Source organism: Homo sapiens, chromosome 5 (genome assembly GCF_000001405.40).
Source record: "Homo sapiens chromosome 5, GRCh38.p14 Primary Assembly".
NCBI lineage: Eukaryota > Metazoa > Chordata > Mammalia > Primates > Hominidae > Homo > Homo sapiens.
In genome coordinates, this window is record NC_000005.10 from 138,419,735 (window position 1) to 138,447,305 (window position 27,571).

The 27,571-nt window shown below is 48.7% G+C and overlaps 2 protein-coding genes across 10 annotated transcripts in view, besides 2 other annotated features; both read left to right on the forward strand.

Annotated features, from left to right (window-relative positions):
* The window catches only part of KDM3B (lysine demethylase 3B), an 84,343-nt gene extending 67,050 nt beyond the window's left edge, over positions 1-17,293 (forward strand). For all 6 annotated transcript variants that reach the window (XM_047417313.1, NM_016604.4, XM_005272018.5 and 3 more), the window contains 10 exons: positions 972-1,228; positions 4,341-4,607; positions 5,677-5,848; positions 7,241-7,331; positions 7,455-7,585; positions 8,233-8,352; positions 10,092-10,231; positions 10,515-10,691; positions 11,691-11,825; positions 15,886-17,293. In XM_047417313.1, coding sequence (XP_047273269.1) covers positions 972-1,228; positions 4,341-4,607; positions 5,677-5,848; positions 7,241-7,331; positions 7,455-7,585; positions 8,233-8,352; positions 10,092-10,231; positions 10,515-10,691; positions 11,691-11,825; positions 15,886-15,966 — 1,571 coding nt within the window. In that variant the 3' untranslated portion in view covers positions 15,967-17,293. The remainder of the gene's footprint in view (positions 1-971; positions 1,229-4,340; positions 4,608-5,676; positions 5,849-7,240; positions 7,332-7,454; positions 7,586-8,232; positions 8,353-10,091; positions 10,232-10,514; positions 10,692-11,690; positions 11,826-15,885) is intronic.
* Positions 19,151-19,570: a silencer, noted in NCBI's record as "silent region_16395". NCBI's record gives its function as "represses an Ori minimal core promoter by ATAC-STARR-seq in GM12878 lymphoblastoid cells {active_cell/tissue: GM12878}" and the evidence as "EXISTENCE:reporter gene assay evidence [ECO:0000049][PMID:35858748]".
* Positions 19,323-27,231, forward strand: REEP2 (receptor accessory protein 2). 4 transcript variants are annotated; one of them, NR_073449.2, is made up of 8 exons: positions 19,323-19,506; positions 21,207-21,354; positions 21,651-21,727; positions 24,681-24,801; positions 25,020-25,133; positions 25,494-25,641; positions 25,734-25,864; positions 25,949-27,231. NR_073449.2 is itself a non-coding variant. In NM_001271803.2 (8 exons), the coding sequence occupies exons 1-8, from the start codon at positions 19,475-19,477 to the stop codon at positions 26,015-26,017; spliced, it is 765 nt and encodes a 254-aa protein (NP_001258732.1). In that variant the 5' UTR covers positions 19,323-19,474; the 3' UTR covers positions 26,018-27,231. The 4 variants fall into 4 exon arrangements, 2 of the variants coding, with proteins under 2 accessions (NP_001258732.1, NP_057690.2); NR_073448.2 differs by having other exon boundaries at positions 25,500-25,641; NM_001271803.2 differs by having other exon boundaries at positions 21,282-21,354.
* Positions 19,956-20,489: an enhancer, noted in NCBI's record as "H3K4me1 hESC enhancer chr5:137775379-137775912 (GRCh37/hg19 assembly coordinates)". NCBI's record gives its function as "activates a minimal SCP1, AML or CMV promoter by ChIP-STARR-seq in naive H9 embryonic stem cells {active_cell/tissue: H9 hESC(naive)}" and the evidence as "EXISTENCE:reporter gene assay evidence [ECO:0000049][PMID:30033119]".

Here is a 27,571-nt window from a genome sequence, read left to right on the forward strand (position 1 = left end):
ACACACACACACACACACACACACACACACACATATATATGAGGGACTACCTTTCAACTTCTTTCTAGAAGTGGAACTTCTCTAAAAAGGCAGATGCCTGGGCCCTACCCTGGATCTCTAGTCAGAATTTATACAAGGGGTTTTTTTTGTTTGTTTGTTTTGAGACGGAGTTTTGCTCTTGTTGCCTGGAGTTCCGGCTGGAGTGCAGTGGCGCGATCTTGGCTCACTGCAACCTCCGTCTCCCAGGTTCAAGTGATTCTCCTGCCTCAGCCTCCCAAGTAGCTGGGATTACAGGCATGTGCCACCACGCCCAGCTAATTTTTTTGTATTTTTAATAGAGACGAGGTTTCTCCATGTTGGTCAGGCTGGTCTCAAACTCCCGACCTCAAGTGATACACCTGCCTCGGCCTCCCAAAGTGCTGGGATTATAGGCGTGAGCCACCATTCCCAGCCATATACAAGACTTTTAACAAGCTTCTGAGATGGTTCTGTTATGCAGCCAGGGTTGAGAGCTAGACTTAGAGCAGAAGTTTTCACTGGGCACAAGAATCATCTGGGGAATGGTTAAAAATGCAGATTCCTGTGTCCCGCCCAGAACTATGAAATCAGAATCTCTGGGGGTAAAGATCTCCATTTTTAACAAGCACTCCAAGTGACTTCAGTACAGGTATCCTGAAGATACACTTGAAACACTGTCTTAGGAAGTGAGGGAGATGAAAGATGGATGACAACAAAAGGGAGTTTGAAATTCAGATCTGGTAAAGAAGTAGTAGGAGAGTTTCTCCTTGGCTGTGAGACCTCCTATAATTATAGCTTGTAAGGCTTGACCCAAACAAACCATACACAGTTTGGGGGGTGCAAGGGAAAGGAGAGAATCTTTCCTCCTTCCCATGTGACTGATTTTTAGGAGTCAGTTGTGTGCTGATTATTCCTTTTTGTACCTAATGCTGTTCCTGGTTATGTTCTTACAGAAGCAGGGTCCCTGAGGTCGGTGCTCAATAAAGAGTCTCATTCACCCTTTGGGCTGGACTCGTTCAACTCCACTGCAAAGGTCTCTCCGCTGACTCCAAAGCTTTTTAACAGTCTGTTGCTGGGTCCCACTGCCTCCAACAACAAAACCGAAGGGTCTAGCCTTCGAGACCTCCTTCACTCCGGGCCGGGAAAACTTCCTCAAACCCCCTTGGACACAGGCATACCCTTTCCCCCGGTCTTCTCTACATCCTCAGCAGTAAGTGTCCTCTGCAACTGTAGCCTTTTCAGCTTTTCCATGAAAGAACCATCAGAGATCAGATAATTGGGTTAGAGGGTACATGGGTGATTTGTGTTCTCTACATTGTCAAGCTGACAAGGTCTCTCTTTAAAGTTTTGGGAATCTTTTTAAGTAGTGAACCTTTTGTACCATGTTAGGAAGTCTGTAAAAGTTGAGATTTTGAAATGTTTCGGTCATCAGCAGAAAAGTTAATACATTGATTGCTTGTTTTTCTTGATAATAGCAGGCATTAATTTTTTTTTAACCTGGACAGTACATTTGTATTGTATTCTCTTGGATATCTAATAGATGTCTCAAACCTTTAATGCGCCTAAGCCTGAACTCCTGATCTTCTGACCATAAGCTTGCTTCTCCTTAGTTTTCCCCTACTGGTTGGTGGCATCTCTGCCCTTGTGATTGCTTGCACCAGAAATCTTAGAATCATTTGGGACTCGCCTGTCTTACCTTTCATATCTAATTTGTTAGCAAATCCTTTCAAATTTGATCTTCAAACTATATTCAGAATCCACTCATTTTTCATCAGCTCTGTTGCTTCCTCTGTTCTGAGCCAACATCTTGCCTAAGTTTTTGCAATAAATTCCTTACAGGTCCCCTTGTTTCTGCCCTTTACAGTCTACAGTGTATTTTCAACACAGTAGCTAGAGAGGTTCTTTTAAAATATGTCATCCCATGGGAGGCTTTTTATTAAGAAATAAAGAAAAATAAAAGAAAAGGAGAAAAATAATAAAATATAAGTCAGATCATATCTTAACCTCTGCCTGAAATCCTTCAAGGGCTTCCTTTTTCTCTCGTAAGATGAGCAGAGTCCTTGTAGTGCTTACAGATGAGTAGAGTCACGCACCTGGACTATGAGGCCATAGCCCTATCTGTTCATCTTGCTCTCACCTCCCTGTCTTCAACTACCACTCTCTGTTCTGTTCACTCCGTTCCAGCCACACCCACCTTCTTGCTGTTCTTTGAACATGGCCTGGCATGCTCCCTCTTCAGGGCCTTTGCACTTGTTATTTCCTCCACCTAGAATTTCTTTCCCATGTAACTACCTCACTTGCTTCATCATCAGCTCCCTCACCTAAACCTTCAGTAACCCTTTCTTCATACATCACCCTTTTTAAAATTCCATCACACTGTCAGTTCTGCACATACCGATTTTCCCTGCTTTGTTTTTTTCACAGCACTCATTACCATCTGACCTATTACATGTTTGATTTTCTGTTTCTTGCCTCTCCTAAAGGCATTTTTGACTGTTCTATAATATATCCCTAGTGCCATGGTGTTTGATCCAGTCATGTTTAGTAAGCATTTATTGAATGAATGAATTCATAAGGTACAATATCTAAAAGATAGAAAAGAGGCTGGGCACAGTGGCTCACACCTGTAATCCCAGCACTTTGGGAGGCTGAGGCGGACAGATCACTTGAGGTCAGGAGTTCGAGACTAACCTGACCAACGTAGCAAAATCCTGACTCTTTCTAAAAAACTACAAAAATTAGCCAGGCATGATGGCACATGCTTATAATCCCAGCTACTCGGGAGGTTGAGGCAGGAGAATCGCCTGAACCTGGGAGGCAGAAGTTGCAGTGAGCCAAGATCGCACCACCGCACTCCAGCCTGGGTGACAGAGGGAGATCCATCTCAAAAAAATAAATAAAATAAAAAAGGTTTCGACTGAAAAGTTTCCTTTGCACCCTTGCCTCCCAACCACCTGTTTCCCTTTCTAGAAGTCTCCAGTGTTTCTCGAGATATTATCATATGTATGTTTTTCCCCTAAATGTTCTACACCTTGCTATTCTGATTTTTAGTTTATATGTCCTGCAAATCATTTCAAGCGAATACATAAATACATTTCTTCTTGGGTTTTATGACTAATGGCTGAAACGTGATGAACTGTGGGTGACTGAGCCCTCTATACAATTTGGGTTATTTGTTTCTCTTTTGGATAAGTAACTTTTTTTTTTGAGACAGTCTCACTCTGTTGCCCAAGCTGGAGTGCAGTGGCACGATCTCAGCTCACTGCAGCCTCCACTTCCCAGGTTCAAGCAAATCTCCTGCCTTAGCCTCCCGAGCAAGTAGCTGGGACTACAGGCACGTGCCACCACACTGGGATAATTTTTGTATTTTTAGTAGAGACAGGGTTGGCCACCATGTTGGCCAGGCTGGTCTCGAACTCCTGACCTCAGGTAATCCACCTGCCTTGGCCTCCCAAAGTGCTGGGATTAACAGGCATGAGCCACCGTGCCCAGCCTGGATAAGTAAATTTTAAAAAGCAAACAAAACAATTACTTTGGGTACCGTTTTATGTATACTTGTTCATCATACTGCCAGTTCTTTTTCTAATTCTCCCATGATGTTACATAATTATACATACTTTATAGAGATAGGGATTAGTAATACTGTAAGCATAGGATTATCCAGTTTATAAAAGCTTCCCTACCTTCAGTTCTGTGACCTTAGGTATGTCACTTTCATCTCTGGGCCTGAGCTTTCCCATCAGCTGAAACAGGTGAGTGATTCTCAGTGGGATGGTAGTGAGGAAAAAATTGGAGAGTAGGAGACTGCTTTCAGAATGTACTTCCTCTTGGACACTCTGCTACACCCTTCATTGAGGTACTCCCTGGTAGAAAACCATTGCCTTGATAAGTCACTTCAGTTACTTAATTGAAGTATTGTATCCCTTGGGCATGCTGGTTAGGAAAAATTTAGAACCCTCAAACTGAGTGACCTTTTTACACTCAGTTACAGCATTTGATGATCCCTACAGTCTACATGCATGTGTGCTTTGTATACTGAATGGCTGATGCCAAAGGTATTTCTTAGGTCTCAGATCTCTCGAGGCAAAAGGGATCTTTCTATACTTTTCTTTCCTAAATGTTAAGGTAAAATATGAAGGATAAAAGAATTTAAGATGTTGACTTATTATCCCCCTTCCAGTTGTAAAAGACATTTTAATAATTTTTGTAGAATTTAATCAGACAGGTCAGAACTCCTTGTGAATACAATTGTGAGACAGTTTTTTGAATGCCGTTCTCATGGTGCCTCAGTCAAGCTTACCTGGTGGATTTGTGTCTGGCAGGGAGTGAAGAGCAAGGCCAGCCTACCCAACTTTCTTGACCACATCATTGCCTCAGTGGTAGAAAATAAGAAAACCTCAGATGCTTCAAAGCGGGCCTGCAACTTGACTGATACCCAGAAGGAAGTGAAGGAGATGGTGATGGGGTTAAATGTGCTAGATCCCCATACTTCTCACTCCTGGCTTTGTGATGGGAGGCTTCTGTGTCTCCATGACCCCAGCAACAAAAACAATTGGAAGATCTTCCGGGAGTGTTGGAAGCAAGGTCAGGTAAGCAAGAATAAGTCGTTCCAAGGGCCAATTCTCTGCCTGCCTACCACAGATACCTGGACAATTCCAGGTCTCTCTTTTTGCCAGGGAGATTTAGACATAGTGAGGTTATTGTAATAGCCTTGCTACTTCGAGTTGTCTTGGATTTTTAAAAGCAAGGAGATGGCCAGGCACTATAGCTCACGCCTGTAATCTCAGCACTTTGGGAGGCCAAGGCAGGCGCATCATCTGAGGTCAGGAGTTTGGCCAACATGGTGAAATCCTGTCTCTACTAAAAATACAAAAAAAATTAGCTGGGCATGGTGGTGGGTGCCTGTAATCCCAGCTGCTTGAGAGGGTGAGGCAGGAGAATCACTTTACCCGGGAAGCAGAGGGTGCGGTGAGCCAAGATCATACCACTACATTCCAGCCTGGGCTACAGAGCAAGATTCCACCTCAAAAATAAATAAATAATAAATAAATAAAAGCAAGGAGATTACTAAAAACACACTTTGCATCCTCTTGTTTCTAAGCTGTATAGTTCTGTGTTCTTAAAAAGGCAGTTGAAATTTCTGTTAGGTGGTGATCTGGCATTGATATCTTTAGAGAAAAATCCTTAAGTGTGATTTTAAGATGGGGCAGAGAAGGGGTTGGAGGTAGGTAGTACTTTTCTAGGCAAATGTTTTAAGGCCACACAAGTTTTTTGATAGTGTGATAACACTCCCTAGTTTAAAAACTTTAGCAGGTGCTTGAGGAAGGGGAGCTCATGGCATTGTCATTTTCAATATGAGGAAGTGTTCTCAAAGTTGGACTTGTCAGATTTTTGTCCTTTCACCTTAAAACAATGGTAGGTATTAGGGCAACAGAAGTGATTTCCCCAGGGTGAGAATGAAGCATAACAATGGAGTAGAAGCATTTCCTTTCACTTTAGTTGACATGTGGAAATCCATGGATTATACAACTAGGAAAGAACAGTAGAGCTTCCTGGAGAAGAGGAGGCCCTCCTCAGGAAACCCTCCTATTCTGTCTCAGCCCTAGAGCTGGAAGTTTTTCCTAGATTGCTCTGATTGGGATATTTTTGTTTCCACAGCCAGTGCTGGTTTCGGGGGTACATAAAAAGCTCAAGTCTGAGCTCTGGAAGCCAGAAGCCTTTAGCCAGGAATTTGGAGACCAGGATGTAGACTTGGTGAACTGCAGGAACTGTGCTATAATTTCCGATGTGAAAGTTCGGGATTTCTGGGATGGTTTCGAGATCATATGCAGTAAGTAGCTTTCATATCTAGTTCAGTGATAGCAGACTGGAAAATAAGCATCTATACGCCCAGCTCTGCCCTTGAATAATAAATTATATTCTGGGGCATAATGGGACTTGAAAAAATAAATGAATAAAAAATTAAAAACAGACAGCCGGGCGTGGTTGCTCGCTCCTGTAATTTCAGTCTTTTTGGAGGCTGATGTGTGGATCACTTGGGGTCAGGAGTTCAAGACCAGCCTGGCCAACTTAGCGAAACCCCACCTCTACTAAAAATACAAAAATTAGCTGGGTATGGTGGTGTGTGCCTATAATCCCAGCTACTCAGGAGGCTGAGGCAGGACAGTCACTTGAACCCAGGAGGCAGAGGTTGCAGTGAGCCAAGATGGCACCACTGCTCTCCAGCCTCGGTGATGGAGTGAGACTGTCTCAAAAATAAATAAATAAATAAATCCAAATTATACCCACTTGGTGGGGGAACATTCTGCCCTGGTGCCAACTGTGTAGCTTACATGGCAATCACATGACTCCCAGAGCATGCCTGGACTTAATCATGTGATTCCATGGGCTATGCAGAGCACTTTCACTCTGAGGAATGGGGATAGAATCCCCGTAAGATGGAAAAATAAGACACACACTAAAGTAGCAAGTGAGGAAAACAAAGCCCACCTTGTCCATTATGGGGGTTTACAAGTCTGAAATAAAAGGTTAATCTCCCAGGGCCAGGCACGGTGGCTCACACCTGTAATCCCAGCACTTTGGGAGGCCGAGGCGGGTGGATCACAAGGTAAGGAGATCGAGACCATCCTGGCTAACATGGTGAAACCCTGTCTCTACTAAAAATACAAAAAAATTAGCCGGGCATGGTGGCAGACACCTATAGTCCCAGCTACTCGGCAGGCTGAGCCAGGAGAATGGCATGAACCTGGGAGGCGGAGCTTGCAGTGAGCCAAGATTGGGCCACTGCACTCCAGCCTGGGCAACAGAGCGAGACTCCATCTCAAAAAAAAAAAAAAAAAAAAAGATTAGTCTCCTAGGCTGGGCGCAGTGCCTTACGCCTGTAATCCCAGCACTTTGGGAGGCCAAGGCAGGCAGATCATCTGAGGTCAGGAGTTTGAGACCAGCCTGGCCAACATGGCAAAACCCCGTCTCTACTAAAAATACAAAAATTAGCCAGGCGTGGTGGTGGTTGCCTGTAATCCCAGCTACTCAGGGAGAATCGCTTGAACCCGGGAGGCCAAGATCATGCCACTGCACTGCAGCCCGGGTGACAGAGCAAGACTCTGTCTCAAAAAAAAAAAAAAAAAAGAAAAAAAAGAGATTAGTCTCCCAAAAGTTACTGTTGAAAATCGGACACCAGCCAAACCAGCAGATGTTTGTGGGAGTATTCTCTGTCTTCCAGAACGACTACGGTCAGAAGATGGGCAGCCAATGGTGCTCAAACTCAAGGACTGGCCTCCTGGGGAAGATTTTCGAGACATGATGCCAACCAGGTTAGTGACCTGCAGTGGTGTCATCTTCAGAAGCCATCACAAAGTAATCACAGAAAAGTGAAATTTGTCTATTGGCTTTCTTCCCCTATAACAAGCTAAGTCATCTTTCCTGCACTTTTATAGGTTTGAAGATCTGATGGAGAACCTTCCTCTGCCAGAATATACCAAACGAGATGGCAGGCTCAATCTGGCCTCTAGGCTACCTAGCTACTTTGTAAGGCCTGATCTGGGCCCCAAGATGTACAACGCCTATGGTATGAGGGAGAGGCTAAAATTGCTCTTTTGGGGGACTGTTGTTCTTATTTCAACTATAGAAGGATATCTGTGGTCAATGTCAGGTATAGAGATGATTGCAGGCAAGTGCTGGAGAAGTGAATAGTATCCAAGGTGGTCTTGAATATGTTTGCTTTTGTCATATTGGTTTTCATAACATCCATGTGGGCCCAGACCATAAGCTTACATGTCTCCAGTAGTGAGGAAGTTTCCTGTTAAGAACTCTACCCAAGGAGCCATATTCTCGAGTATAAGAGACTTGACAGAATAATAATGAAGAGGTCTGGGTGCCATGCTACCCAGCCAGTGCTTTGTTAAGGCCAGGGATGACCTAAATCACAGTGAAAGCTCAGCTTTATCTGAATACGCCCTAATGCCCATATCTGTTTTGTTTTTCATGGAGAGATTGTTTTTTGGAGGTAGATTTGTTCCATGGCCAGTGTCAATGAGAAATCAGTCTTAAAACAGTATAAAAGAGATGAAAGTGATTTCTTCATAAACAAATAGACTTCACTCTCCTAATTTTACTCATTTAACAACACCCTTGAGCATGTTTTCAGATGTAGTGTCGACGTGGATTCTTCCAAATATTGGCCCTTCACCTTGCATATTTTCCTTTCTCCTTTAGGGTTGATAACAGCAGAAGATAGAAGAGTTGGTACAACAAATCTTCACTTAGATGTGTCTGATGCTGTTAATGTGATGGTGTATGTTGGGATTCCCATCGGGGAGGGTGCTCATGATGAAGGTATGCTTTCTAGAATCCACTGCTTTAGGATGGTGAGGCTTTGTCTTGGGAATACAGTTTTGTGTTTTCATCCTTAGGGCCAGTGGCTTTTCCTTTTTTTTTTCTTTTTCTTTTTTCTGTTTTTTTTTTTGGGGGGCGGGGAGGCAGAGTCTCGCTCTGTCCCCCAGGCTAGAGTGCAGAGGTGCGATCTTGGCTCACCGCAACCTCCGCTGCCTCCCACGTTCAAGCGATTCTCCTGCCTCAGCCTCCCAAGTAGCTGGGATTACAGGTGCCTGCCACCACGCCCGGCTAATTTTTGTATTTTTAGTAGAGACGGGTTTCGCCATGTTGGCCAGGCTGGTCTCAAACTCCTGACCTCAGGTGATCCGTCTGCCTCAGCCTCCCAAAGTGCTGGGATTACAGGCGTCAGCCACTGCACCCGGCTTCTTTTTTCTTTTCTTATTCCCCTGGTGGCTTTTTCTTGTTTCTTCCAGGTCTGATGGGAAGTGGGTGCCCAGTGGATGTTGCTAGATAAAGGGGGAGGTTCTAATAGAGAAGAGTACTACTTTGCGTATCTTTGACTAGAGTCTCTTTCTAGAAATGCTACCCTTTTCCACTTTGTAGCCTCACAAAGAGAAATGAAGAAAGGGCAGAGTTCTGACCTGACCTATCAGCCAGATCAGCTGTGGAGTGACAGATGATAAAGCCAGGACCTTCATAAAAATGAAGCATAAAAGTGATATTTTGCTGTATTTATACTTCCTGCCATCTCAGTGTTAAAATTAATACATGTTCATTATGGAAATTTCAGAAAAAGGGATACTTTTTTAAAAGAAAATAAGTAACTCAAAATCTTAAGGTTCAGGGATAATTTCTTTTTTTTTTTTTTTTTTTTTTTTTGAGATAGAGTCTCACTATGTTGCCCAGACTGGCTTCAGACTCCTGGGCTCTGGCATTCCTCCCACCTCAGCCTCCCAAGTTACTGGGCCTACAGGCAAGGCCACTGTGCCTCACTTTACATTTGCCTTTTTTTCTTTTCTTTTTTTGTTTTTTTATTTTTTCTGCAACTTCCGCCTCCTGGGTTCAAGCAATTCTCATGCCTCAGCCTCCCAAGTAGCTGGGATTACAGGCATGTGCCACCATACTCGGCTAATTTTTGTATTTTTAGTAGAGATGGGGTGTCACCATGTTGGCCAGGCTGGGCTCGAACTCCCAATCTCAGGTGATCCGCCCACCTCAGCCTCTCAAAGTGCTGGGATTATAGACATGAGCCACCATGCCCAGCCTACATTTGCCTTGGATTTTGCACACCTGCAGCATTCATTATGGTGTAGGTCATTGTAATAGACAAGCATTAAAAGCCAACCCTCTTCACTTGGTAGTGATGCTTTATGCTTTGTAGGCTTAAATCCAGAATCCTAGTGTTTGAAGGGGTCTTGAGAAAATATACAGACTCCATATACTTGTAGCGGAAGATAACCTGCAAGTTAAACATAAGATATGGCAACACAGTTTAAGCAAAAAATATGTTTTAAGGGGAAATTATACCTCCAAAAATGCTGAATCTCTAATAAGTAAGGAAGGTTTAATGTTGTTCTGTGTGTAGGGAGCTTAGACCAGTATCAATTTTCTGATTCTGCCTTACATTATTCCAGAGATGGAGAAGAGTAAAACTCAATTTATTTAAATTGGACATTTCATTTCACTCAGTGGTACTGAAATGGCTGACTACATTGAAAGTGTCATTTTGCTCTTTTCAGAGGTACTCAAGACAATTGACGAGGGAGATGCCGATGAGGTGACGAAGCAGAGGATTCATGATGGAAAAGAGAAGCCAGGTGCTTTATGGCACATCTATGCAGCCAAGGATGCAGAGAAGATCCGGGAGCTGCTCCGAAAGGTACGCCCCTGGGTGGGCTGTGCTCCCAGCTCACATATCAAGAGTCTCGTTGCTGAGACACCCTATCTAGGGTTTCTCATGTAGAGTCCCTTGGCATTAAAGACTTGTTGGCCATGATACCTCTGGTGGAAAAGCCCAAAGGCTTGAATCCACACCTAGAGGATGTTGACTAGAATAAAGTTTTGCCATCCCCACCCCATCTTAGGACATTGCTGCAGCAAGTTGGATTTATGCTGTTAATGATTTTTAATTTTCCCATCTTTGGATTTGATTATGGCTTCAGGTTGGAGAAGAACAAGGCCAAGAGAACCCCCCTGATCATGACCCAATTCATGACCAAAGTTGGTACCTGGACCAGACCCTCCGTAAGCGACTCTATGAGGAGTATGGCGTGCAAGGCTGGGCTATTGTGCAGTTCCTAGGTGATGCTGTTTTCATACCTGCTGGAGCCCCACACCAGGTGGGTTCCTGCTTGGGGGTTGGGCTGAACAGTTCCATGGGCTTTCTTATTTCTGCTTTTCTTGCTAATCTACCAAGAGATTTAAGTAGCTGGATTGGACTGATCTCTCTTATGCTGCAACTTATTTTATGCTTTTATTTTCTTCCTTGTAACATTAAGGCTCATTTAAAAAATTTTAAACAGGGCGGTCCTGGTAGCTCAACGCCTGTAATCCCAGCACTTTGGGAGGCCGAGGCGGGTGGATCACCTGAGGTTGGGAGTTCAAGATCAGCCTGACCAACATGGTGAAACCCCATCTCTACTAAAAATACAAAATTAGGCAGGCATGGTGGCACATGCCTATAATCCCAGCTACTCAGGAGGCTGAGGCAGGAGAATCGCTTGAACCCGGGAGGTGGAGGTTGCAGTGAGCCAAGATCGCACCATTGCACTCCAGCCTGGGCAACAAGAGCGAAACTCAGTCTCAAAAAAAAAAAATTTAAACAATGCAAGCTATTAAAGAAAAAGTGACAAGTCCTAGCTCAGCTACTTGTAGCATACTCTTCTTATCAATCCCCTTATCCTACCTTCCCAATCTAGTTTCTTTCCTCAGAGATAGCCTACTGTTAACAGTTTGGTGTATATTTTTCCAGAACATTTTCTGTGCAAATACTGATATTTTTATGTATTTCTTTTTTCCTTTTTCTTTTTTTTTGTTTTTTTGGTAGAGACGGGGTTTCGCCATATCACCGTATCAAGCCCAGGCTGGTCTTGAACTCCTGAGCTCAAGCGATCAACCTGCCTCGGCCTCCCAAAGTGCTGGGATTACAGGCATGAGCCACTGCACCTGGCCATTGCTTTTATTTATACATTTGCACTTACAGCTTTTCTGTGTTGTTATAAAAATGGAAATATTATACCTATTTCTCAAGGGTTTTTTTAACTATATCATGGACATTTTCCATATGTTATTGAATCTCTAATGTCTGATATTTCTCCTCTGCACTTTGCCCTTCTCAGGTTCACAATCTATACAGTTGCATAAAAGTAGCAGAAGACTTTGTATCTCCAGAACATGTAAAGCACTGTTTCCGCCTGACTCAGGAATTCAGGCATCTCTCTAACACTCATACAAATCATGAGGATAAACTGCAGGTAAATAACTCCTCCCTCTACCCCACTCTGTCTTCTCATTGCATACTCACATACATTACGCAGAAAGCACATTCTCCTTTCTGAGGGTATTCTCCGAAGGTCTAATTGTGGAGGAGAAATGATGCAGGGAAGAAGTTTGGGGATATGGAGTCCTTTTAGGAAGCATTTAATTTTTTTTTAAGTTTTTCTTCTTTTTTACAAAAATTAGCAGGGCATGATGGCGCATGCCTGTAGTCCCAGCTACTCAGGAAACTGAGGCAGGAGAATTGCTTGAACTGGGAGGTGGAGGTTGCAGTGAGCTGAGATCATGCCACTGCACTCCAGCCTGGGCAACAGAGCAAGACTCCCATCTCAAAAAAAAAAAAACAAAAAACAGTTTTTCTTCTTTTTAATAGAATGGGGTCTATGTTGCCCAGGCTGCTCTCAAACTACTGGGCTCAAGAGATCCTCTCACCTCAGCTTCACAAAGTACTGGGAATACAGGTGTGAGCCACTGCTTAACCTAATCATTTCTGTTGTGACAGTCCTCATTTCTGTCCGTTTCAGAGTTATAGTATTACAAGTGTTAGTAACTAACTAGACTGACCTCCCCAAACAGGTGGAAAAAGCACTATGGCAGTGTGTTCTAAGCATGTTTCTGAGAAGAAATATTGCGCTGAAGCTGCTTCTCATAGCAGATTTCTATGCAGACTCAATTTCTTAGAGCTCTGCTAGGGATTACAGTTCATGTCCCTAAGAACTGTATCCCCTTGTAGAGCAGAGCTGAACAATCAGATTAGGTTTCCTCTGCTCTTGAAATGGATTGGAATTTTAAGGGCAGAATTTCATCATTAATACACTTAGGTACTTTAGTTGCATAAAAAGAACAAAGAGGGCTGGGCGGGTGGATCATGAGGTCAGGAGATCAAGACCATCCTGGCTAACATGTTGATACCCCATCTTTACTAAAAATACAAAAAATTAGCTGGGCGTGGTGGCACACACCTGTAGTCCCAGCTACTTGAGAGGCTGAGGCAGGAGAATCACTTGAACCTGGGAGGCAGAGGTTGCAGTGAGCTGAGATCACGTCACTGCACTCCAGCCTGGGCGACAGAGCGAGACACCGTCTCAAAGAAAAAAAAGAATAAGGAAGCAGAATTCTCTAGGCTTTCACTGTGGCCTCTTTTCTTCTGGCATGCCTGTGGCTCAAGTGTATCTTTTTTGGTTGTTGATAGATCAGATTGAAGAGGTTTTGGAGTGCAGTGGCGTGATCTCGGCTCACTGCAAGCTCCGCCTCCTGGGTTCATGCCATTCTCTTGCCTCAGCCTCCCGAGTAGCTGGGACTACAGATGTCCACCACCACGTCCAGCTATTTTTTTGTATTTTTAGTAGAGACGGGGTTTCACTGTGTTAGCCAGGATGGTCTTGATCGCCTGACCTCGTGATCCGCCTGCCTCGACCTCCCAAAGTGCTGGGATTACAGGCGTGAGCCACTGCGCCCAGCCTGAAGAGGTTTTTCTTAATTGCTGGTAGATTCAATCACCTTCAACTCTGAGTCTGATGCACTTTTCCTTTCTTTTTTTTTTTTTTTGAGACAGATTCTCAGTCTGTCACCCATGCTGGAGTGCAGTGGCATGATCTCGGCTCACTGCAACCTCCACCATCTGGGTTCAAGCAATTCTCCTGCCTCAGCCTCTCGAGTAGCTGGGATTACAGGCACCTGCCACTGTGCCCGGCTAATTTTTGTAGTTTTTTAATAGAGACGGGGTTTCACCATCTTGGCCAGGCAGGTCTTGAACTCCTGACCTCATGATCCACCCGCCCTCGGCCTCCCAAAGTGCTGGGATTACGGATGTGAGCCACTGCGGCTGTTTTTTTTTTTTTTTTTGAGACAGTCTCACTCTGTCACCCAAATGAAAGTGCAATGGTGTGATCTTGGCTCAACTGCATCCTTCGTCTCCTGGGTTTAAGTGATTCTCCTGCCTCAGCCTCCCATGTAGCTGGGATTGCAGGCATGCACCACCATACCCAGATAATTTTTGTATTTTTTGGTAGAGACGTGGTTTCACCATTTTGGCAAGGCTGGTCTCGAACTCCCGACCTCAGGTGATCTGCCCGCCTCCACCTCCCAAAGCGCTGGAATTACAGGAGTGAGCCACTGCACCCAGCCAACCATAGTTTTTATACAAAGTATAATCAACGTTGGTGTTTGTTTATTGAGATGGAGTCCCGCTCCGTTGCCCACGCTGGAGGGCAGTGGCGTGATCTTGCCTCACTGCAGCCTCTGCCTCCTGGGTTCAAGCGATTCTCCTGCCTCAGCCTCCCGAGTATCTGGGGATTACAGGCACGTGTCATCACACCGAGCTAATTTTTGTATTTTTAGTAGAGACAGGGTTTCACCATGTTGGCCAGGCTGGTCTTGAACTCCCGACCTCAGGTGATCCACCTGCCTCGGCTTCCCAAAATGCTGAGATTACAGGCGTGAGTCACCGTGCCCGTCCAACATTGGTGTTTACATAGAATGAGAATATAAAGGTAACATGTCACCTTATCCATAACACCTTTCCCGAGCTAGGGATGTTGGGTGTGTTTCTGCAGTCCCAGCCACTCAGGAGGCTGAGGTGGGAGGATTACTTGAGCCCAGGAGTTTTGAAGCTCTCGTGACCTATGATCACCCCACTACACTCCAGCCTGGGCAACAGACTCTGTCTCTTTATTTAAAAACAACAGGCTGGGCGCGGTGGCTCACGCCTGTAATCCCAACACTTTGGGAGGCCGAGGTGGGCAGATCACAAGGTCAGGAGTTCGAGACCAGCCTGGCCAATATGGCGAAACCCCGTCTCTACTAAAAATACAAAAATTAGCCAGGCATGGTGGTGGGCGCCTGTAGTCCCAGCTACTTGGGAGGCTGAGGCTGGAGAATCGCTTGAACCCAGGAGGCGGAGGTTGCAGTGAGCTGAGATGGCGCCACTGCACTCCAGCGTGGGCAACAGTGTTAGACTCCATCTCAAAAAAAAAAAAAAAAGACCTTTCCTGACTACCCTGTTTAGAATAACAACTCCTGCTCCAGCACTACCAGTCCCACTTTCACTACTTTATTTTTCCTGTAGTATTTTCACCATCTGAGATATAGCTATAGATACAGATATAGATATATTTTTTTAATCTGTTACTTAACCCTACTAGAATGTAAGCTATTTAAGCTCTGTGAAGGCAGGAATTTTACATTTTACTCACTGCTTTTCCTTAGCACAATGTCTGACACATAGTAGGTATTCATAAATCTTTGTTGAAGCAATGCAAAAAAATTAATGGAGAATAGTAAAAGAAGGACTTGGATGCCCATGACCCAGCTTAAGAAATTATAGCACACATACATATACAGCAACTACATGGTTGAAGCCCCCATGTACCCTTCCCCTTTGCATTTCCCCGCTTTTCCTCCCCAGAAATAACCTCAGTTTTCTTGTCAGCCCTTTAAAAGAAAGCTGTCTTTATTCTCTTCACCTTAATATGCCTGTTCACTTTTTTCAATAACTTTTATTGTGTGTTCCAATTTCACAGGTAATATATCCAAATCAGAAAACATATAAGCACGAAGGGAAAAAATAGGCCATAATCCTGCTTTCCCCTCTTGTTTTAATGCATCCTTATTAGCTGTAGAACCTTAAGGAAGCCTCTTAACCATATAAGGAAACAAAGTTCTCCAGGTGTTCACTGTGGCCTTAGTTTCCGCAGTTTCTCCTCTGTAAATTGGGCATGATAATAATAGAACCTACCTCATAGGATTCTGTCAAGGATTAAGCAAAGGTCCACATAAAGAGCTCAGCAGCAGCGCCTGCCCAGGACATAGTAAGCACATAAATGATGGTGATCAGATGGCCTTTCACATAACTTCATTATTCTTTTTTGAGTACACACCTCATGCCCTATGTGATTTGTAAATGACTGTGGGGATTGATACAGGAACGCACAGTCCTTTTTGGGAGTTTCCCCACTAAACCAGTAGGCTTACAGTCAAGGTAGAACGTACATTTGCATGGGGCTGCTGTGAACTGACTTTGCTGTACACCTTCTCTAGGTGAAGAACATCATTTACCATGCAGTGAAAGATGCGGTTGGCACCCTCAAGGCTCATGAATCCAAACTGGCAAGGTCCTAGGCATGGAGAAACTCCAAGCTCCTCTGTGAAGCAGGTCTTTCACTCACAACACTTAACAGGGAACGGCAGGGCTCTTTGCTGGAGCAGAGGCCCTTCACCCAGAGCCAGTGTGGTCAGTATTCCAAACTCTCCAGCCACTCTCTTCTACGCTGCCTCAACACTGAAGGTTGACACAGGAAAGTCGTACTGTTCACACACACAGTTTGAGACTCCAAGCCAAGAGTGCCACATCCCTATCCTGTGGCCTTTTGGAAATCCAAATTGCCTGAACATGGCGGGGCTTTCCTGCACATTCTCCTGATTTGAGATTCACGGGCACACCTTTCTTTTCTTTTCCTCTTGTGCCTAGTTAAGTGGAAATGTGTTTGGAGATAGGGGAAATCACATAACTGGTACAAGTATGGGGTAATTGCTTAAACATGCCTGGTGGAAGTCTGATAGCGTCTCTGCACGTGACCTCTGACAAAGCCCATCCCAGGAGACGGGGTGAAGCTATTCCCCACACTCTCCTGTGAACACTGGAGTCTTGCAAGACCCAGGGAGAACCCACTGCTTTTCCCAGGAGGCTCCAGGATTAGGAAATGTGTGTATTTAGTGAAAAATAGGTTTGTAGTGAAATAGTTACTATTTCATGAAAGTAGATATTTTTAGAATTTTTGAAATACCACAGTTGTTTTCCTGGATTATAAGGAAAGGCACATTACATTTAGTCTTCCTTTCGATATAAAACTCTTTGAAGAAATATGATTTTTAGAAATCAGCTACCCATTATAGCACAAAATCAGCCAAAGCAGAATTTTTAAAAATTGGCTTTTTTAGGATTCTTTTTCTCCCCCTCCCATCTTAGTCTTACCTTGAGGGAACAGTCATATGAGAAGGAACTTTGTCACATCTAAGCTGTGGTGTGTTCCCCATGTGTGTGTACAACACTGGTGACTCCAGGAACCATTTTCACCTATTACCAGTGTTCCCTGGGGACTCCTCTTAATGTTTCCAAATGGGAAGGACAGTTGATTTCCAACATGAGGTTTTTTGTTTTTTATCCAGAAATATTTTCAGCAAAACTTTCCAACTGAGTGGAGTCTGATTAAGGATTTATTTGAAAATGGTGGGATTCATTGGCCCATAGGTACATTGGAAAATGTATATCTCTCCAGCTGTACTGTAGTGCCCTGCAGGCTGTTTATATGTTCACAGTTACTTTTTTTTTTTTTTTTAAATAAAAGTCATTTAATGTAGAATACTTTTAATTTCACTTTCTGTATTTTAATTTTGTTGAAGGGCTGATTGGGATTTCCATGTTCTTATTAAAAATCTAACAAATCTGTTTGGAGTGGACTAAATTATTCGTGTACCAACCCTTCTAAAATCAACATCAGATTGGGAGTTGGGTTGGAGGTGGGGGATTCATTTCCAGGTCTTCATGACTGTGCTACACCCAGATATTTTTCTTTGCTTGTTGAGACTGTGCCATGTTAGAAAAAAGGAAAGTGCCAGGGTGAGGTCAGTATGGTTTGGGGAATTGGGGGTAAGGGGAAGGGGCCACATGAATTAGAGGGTAGAAAGAGAGACATGTTTCCCCATACTTTATGCTTTGTGAATGGAGTGGGAAAGTTGGGGTCCTCCCTTCCTGTGGCAGAGTCTGGGGGGAAGGGTCATGGTGTGTGGCCTCAGCAAAGTTGGACAGTCTGTGGTGGGATTCTTAAGCAGGCAGCCTGGCTGCCTACATGAAACGTGTGGCCATAGATCCACCTTAGAGATGGTGGGAGACACTCATGTGGGATTTATCAAGCAGTAATTAAAGTGTTTCATTGTGGGGTGATAACAGACTGCATTCCAATTAGGAGATGTTTTCTGGAGAGGAAGTTGTAAAGAATAGCAAGAGGGGTTATCAGAGGCTGCTTTTCTGGAACGTTTTGGGAAACATCTTCCAAAGTGTTTGAACCTGGAAATATAATTTACCAGGTTAGAAATAGACCATTGTGTTGTTCAGGGATACTGAGCTTGAATAAGACCATGACTCTTTGAAATACACAGTTCTGAATGTGTCCTTTCAGCCCAGATGGGCACAGGTTGATGCTGTGGTCACCCGAAGGATTACAACTCAACATAAAGGGTAGAGGAATGCAGAAGCTCTAAAATGGGACAGGAAAGGAGAGCAATAGGGCTGGGGGTGTTGGTGGATGGTTGGAGGTTGGTTGCTTTCCTGAAGATCAGGAGGCAGGCTAGCCTACATTCTGGATATAAATGTCTTTAGAATCAGGACATTCACTGCCACTAGTGCTTGCTGATGGGGGTGGAACTGGAGCCCCAGGACCCTCTCGCAGCCCCTCTGTTTGAAAAGAAGGTTGACCCTTTGTTGTCAGTAACCACATTGAGAGCATAAAGCTCTGTTCCGCTGCAAAGCTTAGGAGCTGACAACCTAAAAAAGCAGACCAGCAGCCCGGTGGCTCACACCAGTGATCCCAGCACTTTGGGAGGCTGAGGCGGGTGGATCGCTTGAGCTCAGGAGTTGGAGATCAGCCTGGGCAATATTGCAAAACCCCATCTTGGCAAAAAAAAACAAAAAACAAAAAAACAGGAATTAGCTGGTGGTGTTTTGGGCCTGTAGTCCCAGCTACTCGGGAGGCTGAGGCGGGAGGATCATTCAAGCCCAGGAGGTGTGCTGAGATTGTGCCACTGCACTCCAGCCTGAGCGACAGAGTGAGGACCTGTCTCAAAAAAACAAAACATCATCTGGTCAGGGGAGATCCTCTTTCAACGGGGTGAGAAGGAGTGGGGTGGACAGGTGCGGCTGTACCTGTGACTCAGGAGCTCAGGTGGATGTCTTCAGGGCCTGTAATGAGGAGAGTTTGCTAGTCAGCAGTTGGGGGATGTAACCTGTTTAAAGTAGGCTTCCTGGGGTCATCTTAGCAGCATGACTTGGTGGCTTTGTGACTCTCAACAGATTATTGAGCCTTAAGCTTCTCATTCCCTTATCTTCAAAATGAGGGCTTTTATAGCGCCTGCCTTATAGGGTGGTCAAGAGGATTCACTGGCAACGCAGTGAAGCTCTTAGCACAGGGGCTGGCACACAGTAAGCGCCTGGTGTGGGCAGGGCAGGAGGTGGGCAGGGGTCGATTTCAGGATGTAACCATGGAGACCTCCACGACAACAGCCTAGGGCTTGAAACCCAAGAAAGATGAACAAGCGATTCGAGGAAGGCAGGGCACTGAGGGTCGGAGGCGCATGCCCGGCCACAGCAGGTGCCGGGGCGGGGGCGCGCCGCCGCCGCCGCGGCGGCCTCCCGGCCTCCCCTTTAAGAGCCGCCACCGCCCACGGCCCGCCGCTGCGGCAGGGACCTCCCCTTTAACGGCGGCGCTGGGCGCTCCGCTGCCCCCGCGGCGGCTGCTGCAGCGGCTGCTGCTGCTACTGCGGCTCCTGCTGCCGCCGCCGCCGCCGCTCGGCCTCAGGCAGCTGCATCCTCGGCCGGGCCGGGTCCCCGCCCCGCGCCGCGCCCGGCCCCGCCATGGTGTCCTGGATCATCTCTCGCCTGGTGGTGTGAGTGCGGCGGCGGCGGGGGGTGATGCGGGCTGTGATGGAGGGCGGGGGTGTTAAAGCCCGGGTGGACTTCTCCGAAGCTTCGTGCAGCAGAGTCACCTAAAGGCGCTGCGTCCTTATTTGGGGCCCCCAGAGACATGGAGATGTGGCACCCAGGACTGGAGGGGGGAATATTAGGGGAGCGTGGCAGGCCTGGCTTCCCAGGGACCTCACCCACATTCTTTATTAATAACCTCTTTTATTTCTACCGTCCTTGCTCCTGCGCCCATCCTAGAGGCTGAGCAGCACGGCTTGATTTAAAAGGGGAGGCAGGCGCGTCCCCTCCCCCACCTAGCAGGTCTGGGCTGGAGGAGATCCTCAGACCCGGGCCCTGTCCCTCTGGGGGAGGTAACAGGGTGATGGAAGAGAGTGGAGCAAGGCAGGGCCTCATCATCATTCCGCAGCTCAGAGCCATCACCAGGCCCCTTGGTCTCTCCCTTCCACTCACTGTCAGGAGACTGGGGACGAGGGCATATGCCCTTAGGCCCCCTAGGGAGGAAGTCTGGGTATCGGGAAGCAGAAATGCTCGGAGGACAAAGTGTGAGAGGTAACTGGGAGAGGGGATGTGTGTGCTCAGCCTGGGATTGTGGACCCCGCTGGGGGAGGACGCTCCGTGGCCTTCATTCCAGGCTGCCAGCCACACTGTGGAGCTGTGTCTCTGGCACCTCCCCGGGCCCCAGGAGGGAACACACACCATTCCCCACGAGCCCAGACTTTGTCCTTGAGGATTCTGCTCCGCACTCCACTTGCACCAGCCGGTTTGGAAGTATCCCTCCTGTCCATGTGGAAACAGGCGACAGCCACACATTGTCAAGGGGCTGAGCCTGACAGGGGCTCCTCGTGGTTCTCGGAGCTATCCCCTGCCCTAATGAGGACACTGCCCCTCGGCCTCCACCGTTGGGGACTGACACCGGCAGCCCCACCCTGCTCCCTTCTTCCCATTCGGTACAGCCGGGCCGGCCAAGTGCTTCTGTCCTGGTTTACTCTAGACTCCTTCTCTTCCCCCACCCATCCCAGGGGGAATGGAGGGGCCTCACGCCTCCATGTGGCCTTCAGGGTGGCTGCTTCTCTCTTGCCTGGGCAAGCCCCAAAGGGCATCGGTCCTCTTCTTTCCCGGCCTGTGTCTTGTCTGCATTCTGTACTTGGATCACCAGCGGGGCCCTCCCCTGAGCCCTGTCCCTGTGGTGTTTACATGGGGGAATAAGCCTCTTTGCCTCTCTCAGGGCCTCCTGCCCCTGTGCCCTCTGTTCCCTAGGGCCCCAGGGCCACAGTGGTACCTCTGCCTGCCAGGTAGGGTGCCCTGTTAGGTGGTGTCAGGTTCCCTCGCAGAGCCTGGCTCTGAGGGAGGTGGAGGGTAAGGGCAGATGGGTGTGAATGGGCATGAGGTCAAGAAGGAAGACACCCTGTGGCAGTGACCTGACTCCCAGTCTCCATGACATATTTGTGTGTAACCAAGGATCATGGCGCAAGGGACTACATTGGACCCTCTGGCCTCTGGGCCTTTCCCTGCCTCCGGGGCTAGAGAAAAACTGAACAGTGGAGCGGGGAGGGGGCATCACCCTACCTGGCTGGGCATGTTCCATGCTGCTTTGACCTTAACCCCTGACCTGAGTTCATCAGTCCAGCGGGGAGTTCTGTCTCTCTTCCCATTACTTACCCAGGGGCTGATGCGGAGCTGGGAGGGAGAGGCCACTGCCCTTGGCTGAGAGGCCCAGTAACCATGCCTGCCTCCCTAGGCTCATCTTTGGCACCCTGTACCCAGCCTATTCTTCCTACAAGGCCGTGAAGACAAAAAACGTGAAGGAATATGTGAGTGGATGACCCTTCACCCCCTACCCAACCCACATGGCACAGAGAGGGGAGGGCACTGGGTCCTATTACAGATGGGGGTGACTTTGCACCAACACTGTCAGCCACTAACAAGACCCACCAGCAAAGGAGGGCCCTGGGTGTCCCACACAGCGCCTCCAACATGGCTGGCAGGCAGAAGTGGGGTCCTTGGTGTTCTCCCCAGCCCAGGCATGTTCAACAGGCAGAGCTGGGGTCCTGGGTGTCCCTGGCCCCTCAGCCCCGTGCCCCAGCCAGCGCTTCCCTCTGTCCCTCAGGTGAAATGGATGATGTACTGGATCGTCTTTGCCTTCTTCACCACGGCCGAGACGCTCACGGATATAGTGCTCTCCTGGTGAGGTCCAGCGTCCCCTCCTGTATCTCAGGGCCCAGGGCCTCTGCCTTTCTCTACCCAGCCAGCCAAACAAAAGACTGGGCCTGGGGGTGAAGCTCCTCCCATTCCTGACAATTTCATGGGGTCCTTGATATCTCCCCTCTCATGCCTAACTTGACCTGCAGAAGAACAGACATAGTAGTGCCAGGCGAGGGGGCTCACACCTGTAATCCCAGCACTTTGGGAGGTCTAAGTGGGTGGATCATTTGAGGTCAGGAGTTTGAGACCAGCCTGGCCAACATGGTGAAACCCCGTCTCCACTAAAAATACAAAAAAAAAATAGCTGGGCATGGTGGCGCCCCTGTAATCCCAGCTACTAGGGAGGCTGAGGCAAGAGAATTGCTTGAACCCAGGAGGTAGAGGTTGCAGTGAGCCGAGATCGCGCCATTGCACTCCAGCCTGGGCAACAGAGTGAGACTCCGTCTCAAAAAAAAAACAAACAAACAAGGAGTAAGAACAAACATAATCCCCATGTTTCTTTCTGGCGGCAGCCAGAGCCCCTCAGTGGAATTCAGGAAACCCGCTTCTGCCATGCTGCCTGCGACCTTAGGCAGGTCACAGCTCTCGAGGCCTCAGTTTCCTTATTTGTAAAATAGGCATATGATTCACTCCTATAAATGCTGGATACTTGCATTTCCAAGGCATTTTCCAGGCTGTACTAGACTACGTATGTATGAGCACTTTGAGGACAGGGAATATGTCTTAATCATCTGTATATTCACAGCAGGAACTCAAAAATGTTTACTGAATGATCAGATACCTCTTGGAAGAGGGGACTAATAACACAGTTCATCGGAACTCAAGAAGAGAATTTTACCAAGGGGGAGAGGACAAGAGATCATTACATTTATAGATAAGACCCTTGCATTTGAGAAAAATAGTTTTAGAAGAGGAAAGAGATGGAGAGATGGGTTAAAAATTGAGGGTAAAGGCCGGGTGTGGTGGCTCACGCCTGTAATCCCAGCACTTTGGGAGGCCAAGGCAGGCAGATCACGAGGTCAGGAGATCGAGACCATCCTGGCCAACACGGTGAAACCCCGTCTCTACTAAAAATACAAAAATTAGCTAGGCATGGCAGGGCGCAGTGGCTCACACCTGTAATCCCAGCACTTTGGGAGGCCGAGGTGGGCGGATCATGAAGTCAGGAGATGGAGAGCATCCTGTCCAATACGGTGAAACCCCATCTCTACTAAAAAACAAAACACAAAAAATTAGCCGGGCGTGGTGGCGGGTGTCTGTAGTCCCAGCTACTCTGGAGGCTGAGGCAGGAGAACGGTGTGAACCCAGGAGGCGGAGCTTGCAGTGAGTCGAGATCGAGCCACTGCACTCCAGTCTGGGCAACAGGGTGAGATTCTGTCTCAAAAAAAAAAAAAAAAATAGCTAGGTATTATGGCACCTACTTGTAATCCCAGCTACTTGGGAGGCTGAGACAGGAGAATCGCTTGAACCCAGGAGGCGGAGGTTGCCGTGAGCCGAGATCGTGCCACTGCACTCCAGCCTGGCAACAGAGCAAGACTCAGTCTCAAAAAAAAAAAAATTGAGGGTAAAGGCCGGGCATGGTGGCTCCTGCTTGTAATCCTGGCACTTTGGGAAGCCAAGGCAGGAGGATCACTTGAGCCTAGGAGTTTGAGATCAGCCTGGGCAACATAGCAAGACCTGCCTATTAAAAAAAAAATTGGCCAGGTGCGGTGGCTCATGCCCATAATCACAGCACTTTGGGAGGCCAAGGGGGGGCAGATCACCTGAGGTCAGGAGTTCGAGACCAGCCTGACCAACATGGTGAAACCCCTTATCTACTAAAAATACAAAATTAGCCGGGCGTGGTGGCACATGCCTGTAATCCCAACTACTCAGGAGGCTGAGGCAGAAGAATTGCTTGAACCCAGGAGGCAGAGGTTGCAGTGAGCCAAGATTGTGCCATTGCACTCCGGCCTGGGCAACAAGAACGAGACTCTGTCTCAAAAAAAAAAAAAAAAAAAAGATGAGAGTAGGGCAAGGGTGGTGAGGTGAAAAACAAAACTGAGGGTAGTAAATATAGATGCCTTTTTTTTCTTTTTCTGAGATAGAATCTCACTCTGTCATTCAGGTTGGAGTGCAGTGGTGTGATCTCGGCTCACTGCAGCCTCTACCTCCTGGGCTCAAGTGATCCTCCCACCTCAACCTCCTGAGTAGCTGGGACCACAGGCACACGCCACCACACCTGGCTTATTTTTTATTTTTTGTAGAGATGGGGTTTTGCTGTGTTGTCAGGCTGGTCTTGAACTCCTGGGCTCAGATGATCCTCCCACCTTGGCTCCCAAAGTGCTGGGAGATTACAGGCCACTGTGCCAGGCCTATACATGTGTCTTGACACAGCAAAAGAGAGAGCTTTGATGAAGACTTTGTGAGGACATAGGTGACCTGAAGGAGTTTGTGACCAGAGGAGAAGGCACTATGGGGACTGAAGGGCAATCCTGGAGAAGTGAGGGTCGTGTCACGGTGGGGCAGGAGGGTCCAGAGCAAGCTAGAGAAGTCCCAGGCCTCTCGATGATAGGGAGGGCAGAAAGGGAAGGAGTGAAGACCCAGGTGTAGGCCTGCACAGTCAAGAGTTTCCCTTGGTGTTGACCCTAGGGCAGAGGAAGGGGGGTTTTCTCTAGGAGTGAGAGGGCTGGGGCTTGGGGAGAGGATGAGGCCAGGAGAGTCGCTGCTGGGGGAAATTCCTTCTAGTGTCACTGCTTACCTTCCTGTTTGGAGCTTCAGCTGAGCCCTCCAGACCCTTTCAGATTAGAAAGGAGCAGTCCCATGAGCCCCATGGGGACCCCAGTGCACTAAGAGTGAGGGGCTGTGCAGGGTCACACATGGGGCCGGTGCTGCTGGACACAGGGCACCTCCCAACTCCCTGCCCTGTACTCTGCGCTTGCCCCTGTCCCAACAGGTTCCCCTTCTACTTTGAACTGAAGATCGCCTTCGTGATATGGCTGCTGTCCCCTTACACCAAGGGCTCCAGCGTGCTCTACCGCAAGTTCGTGCACCCAACGCTGTCCAACAAGGAGAAGGTTTGCCCCCACTCTCAGCTCACCTCCCAGCCTGCCCCCAGCCAAGGCAGTCCAGAGCCTGCAGCCTCATACAGACTGGCCCTCCCTGTGGGGCCCAGAGCCCAAAGTGACTTGGCAGGGCTGCCGTGGCCTCCCGGAGCAGGCAGGGGCCTCTGTCCAGGGGTGAACAAGGGTAGGGCAGGACCTCTCCTCTTCTCCCTTCCCCTCCAATCCCATAGGAGATCGACGAGTACATCACGCAGGCCCGAGACAAGAGCTATGAGACCATGATGAGGGTGGGCAAGAGGGGCCTGAACCTTGCCGCCAATGCTGCAGTCACAGCTGCCGCCAAGGTGAGATGGGGGCAGGCTCAGACTCCCAGGGCCCCTACCTTGTACAAAGGGCCCTGGCCAGGCCCCTTTGCATCCACCCTGTACTCGGGGCTGTAGAGACTCTGGGCTCATGCAGCTGGAGGCTCCAGTCCAGGCTCTACTGCTATCTGGCCGAGTCACTTTGATTGTCCGGCCATTTCCCCATCTGTCCCCAGAGGCAAAGTGTGGCCCTGCCCCAGCCCTCAGCTCTGTCTGTGTGGGACTGGGTGAGGACAGTGTGGGGAGGGCACCGAGCCTGGGGCTGCTGCCAGCACCATGGTGACCTCTATCTCCACCCCGCCCCTTCCCCCCGGCTCTCCCGGTGCGTGGTGGTGACCCTAGGGCCAGGGGGTGCTGTCAGAGAAGCTCCGCAGCTTCAGCATGCAGGACCTGACCCTGATCCGGGACGAGGACGCACTGCCCCTGCAGAGGCCTGACGGCCGCCTCCGACCCAGCCCTGGCAGCCTCCTGGACACCATCGAGGACTTAGGTACAGGCAGGGCCCGGGGTTGGGGTGGGGCCCCAAGGGCAAGGAGTCCAGATGGGAAAGATTCCCCCACCTCCTTTTCTCCCTGCACCCAGGAGATGACCCTGCCCTGAGTCTAAGGTCCAGCACAAACCCGGCAGATTCCCGGACAGAGGCTTCTGAGGATGACATGGGAGACAAAGCTCCCAAGAGGGCCAAACCCATCAAAAAAGCGCCCAAAGCTGAGGTGAGGGCACTGGCCAGAGCTTGGGGAAACAGGCAGGGGGTGGCGGCTCCAGGCTGAGCCCCATCTTCCTCCTTCTTTCCACAGCCACTGGCTTCCAAGACACTGAAGACCCGGCCCAAGAAGAAGACCTCTGGCGGGGGCGACTCAGCTTGAGCCCCTCCACCCCCGCAGGCTGCAGAGCAAGGATGAAGCCTCAGGAGGGGCCTCAGACCCAGCCCCTGCTCCACACTGTGCCAGTAGCCTAGGTGTCTCAGGCCCCTGGGCCCCGCAGATGGCCATTTCCGGTGCCTGCCCAGTGGCCACTCTTCTGGAAGGGGCTTGGAAAAGAGGAAGGAGGCCCAGCTGTGGGGGTTGAGGGTAGAGGGTGGACCAGAGGCTGAGGACTGAGCCACCCAAGGAGGTGGGGACTGCTCGGCCTCCACCGCTGTTCCGCTGCAGCCCCGCCCTGCCCCACCCACCCAGTGCCTTGCTGAAGCCCATAGCAATCCGCTTCTCAGAGGTCCTGTCGTGTTTCCACTGCTCGCCTTGGTTTGGGAGCAGGGAGGGGGAAGTCCTAGCCCAGATGGACCAAGGACGGGCCTGAAGGCACATGGGGGAAAGGGAGCACACGGGGAGGACGTTGGGGACCCTGGGTGGGGCCTCCAGGTGCAGCTGTGGATGGAAGACAGGGATTGGCCTGTGCTTCAGCGACCAGGATGGCCAGGCCAGAGCTGCAGCTGGGGGCTCTTTTCCTGGTCATTGGGTGGGGCTGAGTGCCACATGTTCCCACATTAAAAAGGGGGGTCCAGGGCTGTGTGAGTGTGTCTTTCTGGGTCTAGGGCTCGGGGTAGTTTGGGTCAAGGACTGTCCCTCCAGCAGTCGCCTCCTCCCACCCTGAGCCCCACAGTCATCTGGCCCTTTCCCTGCTCAACCCTCCATCCTAGGCTCTGAGCCTCAGAGGACCCAGCCCATGAGAGAACGGGGATCTGGGGGGCCTCTCACCTGCTCCTATGACCTTGCTCCCTTTTAGGTCACCCCATTGCCACCGTGCCCCTGGGCTGGACTCCCGTGCTCCTCAGGGCCCACCCCTGCTCTGTCTGGTACAGGCCCCTGCTGAGTGGGCCCCTCTCCTCTGCCCCTGGGGTCCATCCCCTCTTGCCCAGGGTCCCCATCCTGTACCAAGCAGACTGGGCCCTAAGACCCCTGGCAGAACCCAGCCTCTGCTCACACCCGCCCCAGCTTCTGCCACGGCTTCAGTCAGGGCCAGGAGGAACACGTGAAGGAGAAAGAGAAATGCAGGAGCCGCGGGGCTCCCGGTTCCTTGGGAAGAGGGTGCCCATTGGACCTTTGGCACTGGATGAGCCAATAAACCAAACTCTGGCACCTCATTTATTTTGGCCTCTGTGCTTTGTTCTTGCCACACCAGCTGACAGGTGGGAAGGACCTCAAGTGAGAAGCAGGGTTCAGCTGGGGGAGTGGGGAGGCCAGCCTGTGACTGACAGGAGCTCTGGTGCCCAGCTAAGAGATGGGCTTGAGGGGGCTCAGTCTGGGAAAATGGTTTTGGGACTCAAGATAAAACCAGAGGCCTAGGCTGGGCGCAGTGGCTCATGCCTGTAATCCCAGCACTTTGGGAGGCCGAGGCGGGCAGATCACGAGGTCAGGAGATCAAGACCATCCTGGCCAACATGGTGAAACCCCATCTCTACTAAAAATACAAAAATTAACCAG